The sequence below is a fragment of the Homo sapiens genome, chromosome 2 (genome assembly GCF_000001405.40).
Source record: "Homo sapiens chromosome 2, GRCh38.p14 Primary Assembly".
In the NCBI taxonomy this organism is placed as follows: Eukaryota; Metazoa; Chordata; class Mammalia; order Primates; family Hominidae; genus Homo; species Homo sapiens.
Window position 1 is genome coordinate 24,262,586 of NC_000002.12, and position 16,816 is coordinate 24,279,401.

Sequence of the window (16,816 nt, forward strand, 5' to 3'; positions counted from 1 at the left end):
ACAGCCTCAAGTTTCATCACTGGCTTTCTTTCCTCATTCTATACCCTTCCTGAATAAGCCCACTTACTCCTATAGTTTGATCAGTCCTCTGTGCAATAATGAATCCAAGAGCTATGATCTCAGTGCTGACTTCTTCCCGAAGCAACATGCCTATACTTTCAACTACTTGCAAGATATCTTCAAGTGGATGTCCCATGGGAACTTCCAAGTCAACTTTAAAACTGAACTTTTCTCCTCCATCCCCTCCTTCTCCTAAATTCCTCTATTATTCACACCACCAAAAATTTAGTCATTCTAAATAAAAAATCTTTGGCTCTTACCTCTTTTACACTTCCACATCCAAACTACTGAATTTGTCATTAAAGACTCTTCTAATTTGTCAACCCACCCTCACTGCCCTACTTCAGGCTTTTTTTCATTTCACACTCAAGATTATTATGATTTTTACTCATCCTTCAAGATTCTAACTTCCCCCAACCCAAGCCAGAGTTATTTCATACATAACTGTCATAATTAGCATTATATACATTATATATGCATAATGACACTTAATTATGTAGCTAATACATAAGTATATGTACTTACTACAGATAAATTATTTATATGTAAATAATGACTTATTTACATATCTCTCTTCCATTTGTCCGTGAGCTTTATTGACCCCCACTGTCTAGCATAGTAGAAATCACTTAACTCACTGAATAAATGAATATGGTAGTTGTGTCTCTGTTCTCCAATCCATTTTCCATACCTTTCTAAAACACAGACTTGACAGTGTTATATATCTATTAAAATCATGTTGAATCCATTCATATTTTTAAAAACTGCTTTCTCAGATATCATTAATATAAATTTCATGTTTAAGGTGTTAAATTTGATGTTTTGACATATGTATATACCTGTGAAAAATCACCACAATCAAGATAGCCAACACTTCCATCACCCCCAAAAGTTTCCTCTTGTTCCACCATAAGTCCTCCAGCTTGCCCCTCCCCATGACCTTCCCTGCCATCTCTACGAAAACACTGGCCTGTTTTCTGTCCTATATATTAGTTTACATTTTCTAAAATTGTATATAAATAAAATCATACTATATGTATCCTTTTTGTCTGCCTTTTTCCACTCAAGGCATCCATACAGTAAGAACAGTTTGTTCTTTTTTTATTGCTAAGTAATATTATATCATATGAATATACCACAATTTGTTTATCCTTTCAAATGTTGGTAGACATTAAAGTTTTTTCTAGTTTTTGGCTATTACAAATAAAGCTGCTATGAACATTTGTCTTCATACGGACATATGTTTTCAATTCTCTTGTGTAAATACCTAAGAGTGGAATGGCTGAGTCACATGGTAGGTACATGTTTTAACTTTTTTAACAATGGCTTATGGAGATATAATTCACATTCCACATAATCCTTCCATTTACAGTACACAATTAAATGCATTTTAGAATATTCAAAGAGTTACAGAATCATTACCACAATAACTTACAGAACTGTTTTCCTCAAAAAGAAACACTAGGCTGGGCACGGTGGCTCATGCCTGTAATCTCAGCACTTTGGAAGGCCGAGGGGGGCAGATCACCTGAGGTCGGGAGTTTGAGACCAGTCTGACCAACATGGAAAAACCCTGTCTCTAGTAAAAATACAAAATTAGCCAGGCATGGTGGCACATGCCTGTGGTCCCAGCTACTCGGGAGGTGGAGGCAGGAGAATCGCTTGAACCAGGAAGGAGGTTGCAGTGAGCCAAGATCACGCCATTGCACTCCAGCCTGGGCAACAAGAGCGAAACTCTGTCTCAAAAAAAAAAAAGAAAGAAAGAAAGAAACACTATTTATTAGATTGTCATAGCTAAGAAACTGAAAAACTTTGAGTAACCCGAAGTTGTTAAGATTTTCTCTGTTTTCTTCTAGAAATTCTACAGTTATAGGTTCACATTTGACATCATATTTTACCTATTTTGAGTTAATCTGTGTATATGTTGCAAGGAACAAATTGAAATTCATTTTTTTGCATATGAATATCCATTGTTCCAATACCATTTGCTGAAAAGACTGTTCTTTTTCCACTGAGTTGCTTTTGCACCTCTGTCGAAAATCTGTTGTTTATACACACACACACACACACACACACACAAACACACGTAGCATGAATCTATTTACCTACTCTGTTCCATTGATCTATTTTCCTGTCTAGATGCTAATATCACAACTGTTTTGACTGCTGTAACTTTTATAATAAGCCTTAAATTCAGGTACTAAAAGATTTCCAACTTTGTTCCCTTTTCAAAGTTGTTTTGCTTTTGAATCATCTCGTCATTTGCTACAAAAACAAAAAGAAACAAAAAAAAAAAACAAAGCCTGCTGAGATTTTTGTTGTTGTTGTAGAGATGAGGTCTTGCTTTGCTGCCCGGGTTGATCTCGAACTCCTGGTCTCACGCAATCTTCCCATTTTGGTCTCCCAAAGTGTTAGGGTTACAGATGTGGATCACAGCACCTGGCTGCCTGTTAAAGTTTTGATGTAAATTGCTTTGAGTCTGTGTAAGAATTTGAGAAGAACAGACTTCTTATCTTTTTCTAAAAAATTTGTTTACACAGGACTTAAGAGAAGAACTGACTTCTTATCAATACTGAATCTTCCAATCCATGAACACTATATATCTTTCCATTTATTTCGGACTTCAATTTTTCTCAATAAAACTTTGTAACTTTCAATAAACAGGTCTTGCAAATCTTTTATCAGTTTTATCTGTATTTCATATTTTTATGCAATTGTAAATGGTATTTTAAATTTCAATTTCTGAATAGTCATCGTTTCTATACAGAACTACAACTGATTTTGTTATATTGATCTTGTATTCTGCAACCTTGCTAAACTCATTTAAATAGTTCTAGTAGCTTAATAGATTCTATGGGACTTTTTACATAGATTATCATGTCTTCTGCAAATCAATACAGTCTGTCTTCTCCTTTTCCAATCTTGATGCCTTTTACTCTATGGTAAGCCACTTTAGACCCATTAGGATTTTTCTCCTAGCAGATGTTGTCTCTCTAGTTTAAAGCTCTTAAAAGTTCAAACTTCTTAGTGTAGAATTTGAATACTCTGAAATTACAGTTTCTTTGTCAGGTTTCAACTTACCTTTCTAGCTTCATCTCTTACCATTTGTTCGATATTCTAGGCAAATAGTTATATGACATTCTTTAAAAACACCTGGCACATGCAAGCCTCAATGTTTTTATTTAAGGTATTCTCTTCTGCCCAGAATATTACATGGTTTAGAGGAAATACTACAGACTTGAGAGTTAAAAGAACCACATTTCAGTCTTAGCCATGCTACCTGGTTATCCTTCGTTAAGATAATGAATGCTATCTTGTGTGCTTTGTCATCTACAAATTTGGGGGGAAATACCTGTGCTGCCCTCCTCTAGGGTATCTTTCAGAATTAAATTGAGTATATTTATGAAGGCGCTTTGGAAACTGTAAAGCACTAAGCAAATATAAGGCATAATCCTTCAAGGCCTTCCTCCATCCTATCCTTGGGAAAAATGTTCCCCAATTCTATTTGGTTGTTTTTCCTTCATTCTCTGGGTTCCCACAGTACTTACTCATATAAATTAGTATTGAAATTTATCATGTTATATTTTGTACAGTAATACACATTTCTTTTTTTTCCTAGACTGTGGTCTCCTTATTCATTTTTGTATGTCACCAGAGGCACATGGTTACAAACTCAACAAATGTTAACTTGAATGGATTATTCTAAATTTGATTAACAATAGACTTAAAGCTTAATTAGTAATAAATGGATTATTAGGGCAACTTCATTTATGTTTATGGTAAATAATTCTCATTTTAATGTTATATGTCTGGCTATTTATTACATCATGAATGAAATATTTAGAAAACTCCTAAACCAGAGCTGCTATGGCTAAACTGTATGATGTCACAGTAATGTAGCTCCCATAAAATGGTGTTCTAAAATAGTTAGAATGAAAGCAAACACTTATGAAATATTATCCTGTAAATCTAGTTTAAGACTAGTTTAAAATAGTTAAGTCTGCCAGGCACGGTGGTTCATGCCTGTAATCACAGCACTTTGGGAAGCCAAGGTAAGAGGGTTGCTTGAGGCCAGGAGTTTGAGACAAGCGTAGGCAACATAGTGAGAAACTCCATCTCCACAAAAAAAAAAAAAAAAAAAAATAGCCAGGTGTGGTGGTGTGTGCCTGTAGTCTCCACTACTCAAGAGGTTGAGGTGGGAGGATGGCGTGAGCTCGGGTGGTCGAGGCTGTAGTGAGCCATGATCCCGCCACTGCACTCCAGCCTGGGTAACAGATTGAGACCCAGTTTCAAAAATAAATAAATAAATAAAATAAAATAGCTAAGCCAGAGCAATATAAATTCAGACAAGAATACAATAAACCCTGAGGAATTACACAAACCAAAGTATTTCAATGCTGCAAAATGCTCAGCATTGTACCTGATTTAAATGTATTGTCTTGGACATGGATGACGCTGAAAACCATCATTCCCAGCAAACTAACACAGAAACAGAAAACCAAACACCACATGTTCTCACTCACAAGTGGGAGTTGAACAATGAGAACACATGGACACAGGGAGGGGAACATCACACAGCGGGACCTGTCAGGGGGTGGGGGACTAGGGGAGGAAAGCATTAGGAGAAATACCTAACGTAGATGACAGGTTGATGGGTGCAGCAAACCACCATGGCACATGTATACCTATGTAACAAACCTGCACGTTCTGCACATGTATCCCAGAACTTAAAGTATAAAAAAAAAAAAAAAGTATGGTCTTAAGGAAAGGAATCACCGTAAGCTATGAGTATTGGCTATATATAGGTACACATATGTACATACATACATACACACACACACATTTACCACATTTACTTACATGCCCTTCCTACTTTCCTTTCTACCTCCCTTCACTGACGGACTTGGCTGGCTGGCTGACTTTTCAGACAGGGTCTTACTCTGTCACCCAGGCTACTAGAGTGCAGTGGTGCAATCACAGCTCACTGTAGCCTTGACCTCCTGGGCTCAAGTGATTCTGCCACCTCAGTCTCCACAGCAGGTGGGACTACAGGTGCACACCACCAAGCCCCGCTAATTTTTTTTTACTTTTTGTAGAAACAGGGTCTTCCTATGTTGCCCAGGCTGGTCTCTAACGCCAGTACCTACGTGATACTCCTGCCTCGGCCTCTCAAAGTGCTGGGATTATGGGTGTGCACCTGCACCTGGCCAAAAGCTTTTAAAAGTATTAATTTCTAGATACACTTTTTCCTAGTGTTTTCAACCTAATCAAGAAGAAAAATCTCGTTCATTTATTCTGTAGTTAGGCCAAGTTGTTTTAGTAAGAGGTCAATTTTAATCTCTTTCACATCTGTCATTTATAGTTGTAATTAATTTTTAGTTGTTAATTTACATACTGAGTTAAACTGAACATTTTATATAAATTCTCACAGGCCTAGCAAAACTACTTATTACTTCTTCTTAACTACTTATTAATTAATGTTAGCAAAATAGCATTAACAGATTAGAAGGCTAGAAAAACATTTCAGCTTGTCATCGAAAATGTGGCCAAGACTCAGTGGAATTTCTAATCCTTTTCACTTTCAATGAAACCTCCGGTAACACCCTCATCCATTAAGTTGATCAGACCTTGCCTCCTATCTTACCGGGAATTTGGAAGTCCTGGGACCTGACTTCATCTTCTACTTCAGCAAAATTTACTTTAATCCCTCCCACCCTTTCTTCCTGCCCTCTAATGACAAAGGATAAGGTATTCAATCCTTCTACCACTCTCTTCCAGGGCTCCAGATTCCAGCCTTCTAGCCTTTTCAAGAATCTTCCTCATCTCCATCTATTAGTCAGAACAGGGAGGTTTGACAAGGAACATGAAGTGCCTTCCTGATGCTGTACGTTCTACACACTGATCTGAGGGGGGCTTCACAGATACACAGATGTGTACACATTCTTTGAGCTGTATACTTATGGTTGTACACTTTGCTATATATAAATTATACTTTAATAAGAAAAAACAATCTTTATCAGTTATTTATACTCTTTCCATTATCATTAACCTGTTTCCTCTCTGCAGATCCTTTCTACTATTATTTAAACTTGCTCAAGCTTCAGCCAACTTTAAAAAAAAAAAAAACTTCCCTCAACCCACATTTCTCATTATTTACTACCTTCTCTCCTTCTCCCTTTCAAAGCCAAGCTCATTCAAAGAGTTTTATATATTCACTGTCTCCTCTTCCTCTCTTCCAATTTATTCCAACTCACTGAAATCTGGCTTCTCGCTCTACTAGTCCACTTAACTGATACTGCTGTCCTCAAGTTAACAACACCTGTGCTATTGCTAATCTAATAATTTTTTTAGTCCTTGTTTTATTTCACTTGCAGATCACTCTTCTCAAAGTTCCCTAACATTAAACTCTCCTGTTTTTTTTTTTTTCCTACTACTAGTCACTCCTTTTAAGGCTCCACTTCCTCTAATAATTCCTTCAGTGTCCATGTTTCTCAGGAACTGCATCCTCAATCCTCTTCTCTCTCACGTTACTACTCCCCTGGATGAGCTCCATTACTCTCATGTCTTCCAACACCATCACATCACACTGGCGACATCCAGATTTACATCCTCAGCCCAGACCGCTGCCTGACATCTCTCTAGGTACTCTGGAGATCCAACTACTACTGCCTGGACATCTGAAACTCATACAAAACTGAACTCATAATTCTACTTATATATTCCCCCTCTGATTTTCCCTCTTAGGAAATGACACCATCATTAACCAATTTGTTCAAATCAGGCAACTCATGACTGACAGTAGTAACTCATGACTAATACTTCATGTTAATGATTCAGCAGAGTACACAAGCACCCAAGACACACAGCTAACTTTATGTTTCTGTTGTCACTGCCACCAGAATGGCTCTCTGACCATGGGAGAGGTCTGTGCTAAAGCTGGTAGCAGTCTACAACCTTTTCCTTACCTTCCTTCCTCTACTGCTTTAGGTTGTCACGCTTTTTCATTAGCCTACAAGCGTGTTAAGAGCAGAGATAATGTCTTATTCACTAAATCCCTAGTCTAACATAGTCAGCCCTCAAAAAATATTTGTTGAAATAAATAAAAAATATAACCAAAAATATAAGTAAACTCTTGACCAAACACGCCCAGAGATTGGTTGTATCTCTTCATCCAGACACCATCACCAACAAGGAGAGGAGGAATGGTAGGAAGAGCAGACAGTGGACTTGGGCTGGTTGTAGAACAAACCTCTCCCCCTGCTCGGGCACAGCTCCGGTACTACTAATAGCGGCAATGGCAAGAGCAGGAATGTGTGTTTAGGGTTTATCTTGGGTGCTAGCGTTTTGGTAAATTTTTTTCCCTAGTATCATTAAACATTTGCCACCTAACTGATAAATCACACTAACTGGTGACAGTGCAGGGGGAGCGGGGGAAAGAGGCACTGGCTAGATACTCTGGCTAGATACTCTGGTTAACATTAGTTTAACAAGAAGAAAACAGAAGCAGAGACTAAAATCCAAGTTTGTGTGCTTCTAAAGCCTGTACTCTTTCCATTATGTCCTACTGGCTCTATCAAACACTACTCCTGGGATCTTCTCTTATTCATGTATTTTATATGGATTGTGATAACACAATAAAGACTTTCGTTCCAAGGAACAAATTGCCTGTATCCAGTTAGGGCTGTGGAATCTAACTCCTTCAATTCTTTTAACAGTTGCTGTATGGCATAGCAGAAACAACGCTGGATTTGGAAATAAAAAAACACATAACTGCATCCCATTCTGGCACTGCAATGCTGACAGTTACAACTTGTGTGAGTTTAAGCTTCCTTGGCTAGAACTTAGTTAGTAATAATAACTGTCCTATGCAGCTCTGAAGTATGTTGTAAAGTCCAAATGAGGTAATGTTTAAGAAACATTTTACAAAGGTAAATATATGAAATTAATGGTCAACATTACTACAGAAACTAATATATTACAATGTATTTAGGTTATTCATGATTAAAAAAAAAATTCATTTCCTACCTGAATTATATCTCCAGAATTAAAACTCATCTCATCATGGTTCCTTGCTTCAAAGGGGTATAATGCTCTATAATTCACCAAAACACTAGCTGTCTCACCTAAAGAGAAGACAATTGTCATTATTTGCAACTTACATGTATACATCTTTGCTATGACTCAATAAAGAGCTCTAAAACCTAAAAGAAAAAATCAAGCACCAAATACTACAATGAAAATCCACTTGATACAGACTTGCTAGGATTTCAGTATCTTGACTAGTCATCTAATAAAAAAGCAAACAAGGATGCTCATCTTAAGTAAGGTAGGAGGCAGCAAAACAAAGAGATGACTTGCGGGATGAAGCACACACATGGGTAGAAAGGAAAGTGCAGGAGTGGGGGCCAGGCTGAGCTGTACAAAGTGGAAGGAGACCAAGCAAAGAGAGGCTTGGTTTGATCTGTGGAGGTCTGAATATAACAGGGAAGTAAAGGACAAAAAGGGGGGTCTCAAAAGATAAGAATAGCAAGTTAACAGGGATGGCTGAAGAAAAATCTATACATCTATCAGAATGGTTCTAAAAGGAAAACAGTGGAAGAGTACACAAATATACTGAATTTGATAAGAATAAAATTGTTTACTTTGTTCATCTTTAGAATGTTTTAACTTATAAAATTTCAACAAACTGTATCATTAATAATGATTCAAAGGGTTCATGTATCTAAAAGAGATACAATACTACTAAAAGTATTGTGGAAATGGACTGAGGTGTATCAAAATTTTACTGTTGTTTCATTAAAATAAATAGCTTAGTTATAGTGGTTGAATAAAATATTTAAAACTATTTTACTTCAATTATGAAAACCATGTCTGAGTCTTTTCACAATCAGTAGTAACTATCTTCTTTTCTCCTGCTGTGCTAAGATTTCTACTGCTGTGTTAAGATTTCAGTCTGTTTTAATAAGCCTACTGCTTTTTATCCAAGTTTAATTTATAAAAAGGTTTTTTCTGACTCTACAATTAGTATCTTTCTAATTTTCTTCCCTTTTTTTGTCTCTTATCAGGTCATTTTTTTCTTGTTGCATTTGTTCTACTGTCTCAAAGTATCCTTATCCTTACGTTTTTTCTCCTCAGCTTTCAAAGTATCCTTATCCTTACGTTGTTTCTCCTCAGCTTTCCGTTCCTCTTCTTGAATTTTTTCTTGTGTTTTTTCTTCCTGGAGTCGCTTTTGTTTTTCTTCTTCCTCCTTTCTAAGATTTTCTTTCCATAAGTTTTCTTTTCCTTGCTTTGCTTTCCTTTACATAAAAGAAAAAGAGTTTGTATAATGTCCTAGAAATTTTTTACACTAAATAAAAACATACTAAGATCTGGTTCCTGTCAAGGTGAAGAACTAGCAATGAAGTATTAGTACAGGGGTGGGGAGAAACTGCTGAGATCAGAGGTGAAAGGAAAACAAATCAATCAATCAATCAAGAAAAGCTTTGGAAGCTTTGGATTGATTAGTGGATGCACTGGGGTGTATGACTGACAATTTCCCACACCCAAAAATTCCCTCCTGCTAACCAACCTCCAAACTCAAGAAAAAAAGAAAAAGGTTGAAATGGAACCATTCAGCAAATAAATCTAAAAATTACATCTAAGTTTCCTTCCTTTCTCTCCAGATATTTGACAAGAACTGTCTTCCAGCTGTTATTCCCACTGTCCTATCTAATCTTTGTTTCAGGGGTTTAGTCATTGTTGCTGTGGAAATAGGAAATGCTTCTAGAAAAACAACCTACTTTTTTTTTTTTTTTTTTTTTTAAAGAGAGAGGGTCTTACTCTATGGCCCAGGCTAGAGTACAGTGGTTCAATCACAGGTCACTGCAGCCTGGATCTCCTGGGCTCAAGTGATCCTCCTGCCTCAGCCTCCAAAGTAGCTAGCACTACAGGCACATGCCACTATACCTAGCCAACTTTTTAATTTCTTTTTTATAAAGACAGGGTCTTGCTATGTTGCCCAGTCTGGTCTGGAACTCCTGGCCTCAAGTAATCTTCCCTCCTTGGCCTCCAAAGTGCTGAGATTACGGGCATGAGCCACTGCGCCCAGTCTACTTTTTATATTATTACTTCAAAAAGTCTTTTTTGTTTGCTTAGATAATAGAGCATTTCTCCTCTCTAGGTCCACGTGCTTTGGTAAACATTTCAATGAAATCTAACACAGCTACAGTTTGGTTTCCAGCCAGTCAAGGTGATCTGTGATCAATTATTTTAGTATTAGAACTCATGCATCTTATAGTTCTCCTTTGCATGTATTTTCACAACCTTACTCAGAGGTAGAGCTGCCACCACTTAAATTTAGCACCTTCTCCAAGCCTCAGCACTATCAGGGCAGTGAAGATTACAGCTGGAAACATTCCTGAGATTTGTCAGCATATATACCCTTCCAAAGTGGGAACCTTGGCATAATTCCACATCTCTATTCCTTAATTCCTGAAGGAATCTCGAAATCCTGGATAATTCAAAATATTGTAGGCCCTTAGTCATCAATGCTTTCTCCTTATCTCTCAACTGTTTCAGACTTCATACTGCTGGTTCACTAGCCCATTTACTAGATTCCTTCCAACAATTTCCAAACCTCCTTCATCCTCTATCATGTCATAGAATGCTTCCTCCGGCAACTTTCAAAACGGACTTCTGGTTCTCCTGTGAGGAAAATGCTTCTCTTGCAGTCCTCACTTAATTTCAACTAATATCCCCTTTCTCAGTTCCTCTGTAACTTTCCGGGACACTTTTCCAAGCCTAGTAATTAATACCCAATTAGCTTTCATTTGAATTTTTATAGCATTATAAATATCACTATCAGAGTACTTAGCACATATTTAGCACAACAAAAAAACCAGAGGGCTCATTAAATTAAAATTTTCTATATATTTTTTAAGCTCTTCATTCTTTCCATCAACTCCTCCTGCCAGGTAATCATGGCCACATAAGTATGAGACTAGGACAACCTGGATAAGGCTCCTTGTTTAATTTAAGGAAAGGATGTCAGGCCCCTCTACTCTAGGCTTACTGAGGGGTGGTACTTGGCTGAGCTCAACCTGCAGGAAATCATGCCAGAATTCTGGTAAACTTTATGTAAGAGTTAGTAGTTGAGAAACCGGTCCAGTGCCACAGGATGCCTCAGAAGCTGGGCAAAGGGCAAAGAGGCCACAACTAAAATGTGAAAACCTATTACCAATACCTTGGGGAAAAGAAGGGAATATACCTGGGCAAATGGCCAATCAATCCAAGATGTGGTACTAAGACCCAGCTTCAGACTGAGTAGGTCCTATATGCACTTCCGCTCTCTTTGATTTCTCTTCTCTACTACCTAATGTGCAAGGATGATGAATGAAATTAAACGCATATAACTAGTATAATCTTTTGGCCTGAAAGGAATTGTGAACACGATGAAGAAAGATTAAGGTAACTGCATATGTCAATAGAAAGTTCTGACATAAGGATTAGCTGTGGAACCACTGCACAGCTCCCTTATGTAATTAAGTGGTACAAGTTAAGCAGTAAATAAGAGCTGTAAGAGCTACTTCGTTTGAACTTTACTTTCTCTACTTCTATATTATTCTATTATCTCGTTAGGAGGCCACAAAAACAGGGGTCTAGATCACCAGGCGCAGTGGCTCATGCCTATAATCCCAGCACTTTAGAAGGCCAAGGTGGGCAGATCGCTTGAGCCCAGGAGTTTGAGACCGGCCTGAGCAACACAGAGAGGCCTCATCCCTATTAAAATTCAAAAAAAATTAGCAGGGAGTGGTGGTACATGCCTATATTCCCAGTTACTCAGTGGGAGCTTAGGCAGGAGGATTGCTTGAGCCCGGGAGGTCGAGGCTGCAGTGATCCCTGATCATACCACTGCAATCCAGCCTCGGTGGCAGAGCAAGGACCCTGTCTCAAAATAAAGAAATGGGGGTCTAGGAGTAAACAATATTATAGTTATTCGTTTAACTGTCTGAATCTCCTATTAGAATTATGAGGAGTAATCCAAAGTCTACCAGCATCACAGCCAACAATAGCCACTCAAAAAAATGTGTTGGAGGTGGCTACTTTGAAACCATTAAGAATAGAGGCCTGCCAAATGGTAATGTGTCTTCCTTGCCTCCCTAGTAACTATTAGCTTTTTCATAGAAATTACTCATCTACTCTTTACCAAGGCAAAAAAATACTGGTTCATCCATATTTGTTAACTAATTATACTACTTTCTGATACTAGAAAACTTGGAAGAAAGAGAAGAATGTATTAGAAAAAGAATCTCAATGGCAGAAAAATACCATGCAAAGTTTCTAAATGAATAATTCTAGGCTTCAGATACCACAAATGTCTTACTTCTCCTTACTATAAATGGAGGCAATTAATATATCTCAAGTGATAAAAAGAGAAATGCATCAATGTGGCATTCTACATTCAGTATTACTATATACAATTAAGTATTCTGCTTTTATGATCTTTCAGGAAACTAATAGATTTACCAAGGAAAGATGGAATGAATGAGTGTTTACTATGTGCAACAAATTATACTTGGCTCTTTAGCTACATTATTTTATTTTTTAACTTAAGAGACAAGGTCTTGCTATGTTGCCCAGGCTGGCCTTGAACTCCTGGGCTCAACTCATCATCCTGCCTCAGCCTCCCAAATAGCTTGGGACTACAGGCGTGTGTCACCACGCCCAGTTCCAGCTGTATTATTTTATTTAATACATTTACCTATGAGATATGCATTATTGTCTCTATTTTCAGATGGAGTAACTGAGGTTCAGAAAGATAAAAATAACTTAACCAAGGTCACCCAGGTAGTAAGTGGAAGAGCAAGAATTCTAATACAGGTTTGACTCCAAAGTCTGTTATTTTTCACTAGTAGAAAATAAAATCAGTTACTGCAAACTTGATCCCTAAAAGGACTGAACTTATGAGATCCAGAATCTGATTAGGATAATCCCTTTATTTTCCTTAAATTTTCATAAACTAAAGATATGAGCAACAAAATTACAATTCTAATGGCAATATAGCACAATAAATATATCAGCTATATTACCTTGCAGCCTCATCTTCTAGTTTCTTTTTCTGCATTAGTTCTAATCTTTTCCTTTCAATTTCCTTCAACTTGTCACGTTTGATCTTATAAAGCTGTTCAAGGGCTAACTGCTGTGTGTTGTAGGTTTCTCTCAGTTCCTAAGGAGAAAAAGAAAATAAGTCAATACGTGAATGATTTAAATATGCTTGTCATATGTATTAATGTGGCATTTGCATTAAAAGATAAAAATCCTATAGCAAGTTGAACTAAATTTAAAATATTTAAAGTTTTAAAAAATATCTAGATGATAAAAAAAACCTTAAGTATTTAAACCATATAGCTCCTGAGATAAACACATTAAAATAATCTACTTTTCCATCAGTTCATTTCTACGGAACACAGAATCTTTAACAAGCCGATGCTTTGATTTGGTACATCATTTTCAATTAAAAAAAGCAATCCATTAAAAATATGGGGGAATAATTTGCTTGTTATAACATCTGAAGAGAAATTTTGTTCAGTCATGTTTTTGACATATGTAATTTAACCAAGTTATTTTTATCCAATATCATCTTGAACTAAACACAGAATTATTAAATAATTTAGTTCAAAACTAAAAATGGAAAAGATGTCTGCCTAAAATCATGACCACCATGAGCCAAAATAATGAAAAGCATTCCAAACAGGAGTTGAAATAAACAACTGCTTATTGAACATCTAGTTGTATGCTAAGTGCTATAAAGCGTTCCAAGAGGATCCAATACAAGGCTGACTCCCACGTCTACAGACTTTGTCTTTAAAGAGTTCACAATCTCAATGTAGAGGCAAGTGTCAACATGCAGGGCAGAGGTAAATTCCTTAGCAGGAACTTGTGATTATCTGTTCAGCATTTTCTCTTCCTCTTCTTCAACAGCACCCTGCCTTCCTCTAGGAAACTGATCTTTCCACCTTCCTCCCAACATCTTACGTGGTTTTAAAAGGTCTGCCAAACTCAGAGCTCCTCCCATTCCCATCAGGCACAATTGTTTACTCCTGACCTAAACAATCACAGCACCTTACTTCCCTGCTCAGAAACGACTGGTCCAAAGGACATAAGCATAATCCAAGCTGGCCCAGAATATTTTCCTGGGATTCACATATGTTGAAGTGGGGAGAAAGAAACCTTTCTGCAGCTCATTAAACTGGGATAAAGTAAACCTGGAGCTGCCTCACAACCAAATAAGACCTGGGGATAGGAATAAAATCAACTCAGAAAAAAGAGAAGTACAGATTAGAGACTGAGCTGGAGAGAAAGGGTACTATAGAAGCTGAATGTTCAATATCATGGCTCGGAGACCTAGGAACTGCCCCTGTCCAGCAGCCCTTCCATGGATTCAGTTAGTGGTCCTAGGATGCTTCTAATAATCACTCATTAGCTTAACTATTTTGAACTAGATTTCTTTCATTTGGAATCTACAGAATCCTGAACGAGAGAGTAGAAAAAGGAGGCTGGAGGAAAGAAGTGGGGGCGGGGGGACTTAAGAGTAATCAAAAGAAACTTCATGGCAAAGGTGAGAGCTGGACAATATTTGGGTAGAATGTTTTGGTAAAAAATGTTTTTTGGTATCAACCTATACACAATAACACAACTCCAAACTCCATTTCTTTTCAGAGATAACTATTTTATAAGTGAACCTTTTACTTGATTGAAATAGTAGATTTGATCTAAGTACAGCATGCTGTCCAGAGACTATGTCCAACATGTCTGAGCAAAACATTTACAACTTAAGCCAATAGTAATGCATACTGCTTTTATAGCAGAATTTCCACAGCTCTCAGCTTCTAGGGTTTTATTTGTTGTACCTTTCTCTAAATTCTATTGAAAAGCAGAAGAATATAGTGGTTACAATATATAGAGAAGCAAGGTGGTTTAGTGATGAGGAGCATGGGTCTGGAATAAGACTAACAAGGCTTGACTCAGGCTCTGTATACTAGCTGTATAACCTTAGGAAAGTTATTTTATAGTTTCCTCATCAGTAAAATGAGGTTAATTATGGTACAAGGGTGTCCAATCTTTTAGCTTCCCTGGGCCACATGGAAAGAGGGAAAATTGTCTTGTGCCACATGTAAAATACACTAACAATAGCTGATGAGCTAAAAATAAATACATAAATAAATAAAATTGCAAAAACAAATCTCATAATGTTTTAAGAAAGTTTACAAATTTGTGTAGGGCTGCATTCAAAGCTGTCCTGGGCCGCATGTGGCCTGTGGACCACGGGTTGGGGAAGCCTGTTATGATACGTGCCTCACAGAGTTGTTGTGAGGATAAAATGAGTTAATACATATAAAGTGCTTATTATAGTGCAGAGCACCTAGGTTCTCAGTAAATCTTAGTTATTATTATTGGATGAAGTCAAAAATGAGGAGAGTACTCAGTCTAAAAGGAGAGTAAAAAGGAGCCAAATTAATGTCTGATCTCAACAAGGCTGCAGGCTTAGCCCTCCAACTTGTCCTTTAAAATAGAGCTCTAAGTATTCCTTTACTAACCCTATTCCCTGCAGTGTCAGAGTTAATGAGCTTCCTTGTGCCATTCTGTATATTCCTCTATCATAGTGTCTTCTCTTCCAACTATATGATTGCCTCCTCCACTGAAGTGAGTTTCTTGACAAGACTGTCTTTCATCAAGGTGTCTCCAGCCAACAGAGAGTCTAGTACAACATGGATATTTAATAAATATTTATTGGACAAATGAAAAATGCATAAACAATAGTCTATGCAAATTAGTAAGATTTAAAGAGCACCACAAAGCTTGCCAAGTATTTCCTCTATTTGACTATGGTGATGTAAAAATTCCTATCCTTAGACCTATTCCTCTGGGTTAAGTCACTACTTCCAGGAGGTCCTTGCTACACATAATAGTTAAGCAAGAAAAAAATAAACCAATCAGAATTCATTAAGAGTTGTTCTCAATCTTTTTTTTTTTTTTTTTTTTTTTTGAGATGGAGCCTCGCTCTGTCGCCCAGGCTGGAGTGCAGTGGCGCGATCTCAGCTCACTGCAACCTCCGCCTCCCGGGTTCAAGCAATTCTCCTGCCTCAGCCTCTTGAGTAGCTGGGATTACAGGCTCATGCCACCACGCCCGGCTAATTTTTGCATTTTTAGTAGAGACGGGGTTTTACCATGTTGGCCAGGCTGGTCGTGAATTGTTGAGCTCAGGCAATCCACCTGCCTCGGCCTCCCAAAGGGCTGGGATTGCAGGTGTGAGCCACTGCACCCAGCCAAGTTGTTCTCAATCTTAACAGAATGATAGATTATCTCTTTTACGTTAAGGAACTTCTATTACTAGTTTGCTAATAAGTTTTACTTTTAAAATCATAAATGGATATTAAATTTTATCAAAAACCTTTCCTGTATCTAATGAGATGAGCATAATCTTTTTCTCCTTTAGTCTGTTTATATAGTAAATTACATTAAACTTTTCTGTATGTTAAATCATCTTTGTATGGCTGAGGTAAATCCAACTTGGTCATGGCAGGTTATGCCACCTGCAGGGGTATTACTAACGTAGATTACTCCAGATCCTTGGAAGCATAGGGTTAAGACCTAACTCCTTGAAGGAAACCACAATTCTACCATTAACAGATTCTACTTTCCCTCTATGGACAAGCATTTCCCCAATCATTATCTCAAGTCAACACTGGTTGACTTTCCAAAATACTAAAGATATTTT

General features: G+C 37.4%; 1 protein-coding gene and 1 non-coding gene across 29 annotated transcripts in view; both read right to left on the reverse strand.

Moving 5' to 3' along the window:
* The window catches only part of ITSN2 (intersectin 2), a 158,505-nt gene that overhangs the window by 59,722 nt on the left and 81,967 nt on the right, over nt 1-16,816 (reverse strand). For 20 of the 28 annotated variants that reach the window (XM_047444586.1, XM_047444582.1, NM_019595.4 and 17 more), the window contains 3 exons: nt 13,128-13,264; nt 9,181-9,356; nt 8,086-8,183 (listed from right to left, as the gene is read on the reverse strand). In XM_047444586.1, the coding sequence (XP_047300542.1) occupies nt 8,086-8,183; nt 9,181-9,356; nt 13,128-13,264 (411 nt within the window). Of the gene's footprint in view, nt 1-698; nt 2,363-8,085; nt 8,184-9,180; nt 9,357-13,127; nt 13,265-16,816 lie in introns of those variants that run through there. The other 8 variants (NM_001348182.2, XM_024452933.2, XM_047444590.1 and 5 more) reach the window with 2 other exon arrangements.
* LOC124900541 (small Cajal body-specific RNA 21) lies at nt 11,029-11,156 on the reverse strand. The gene has a single exon (XR_007088732.1).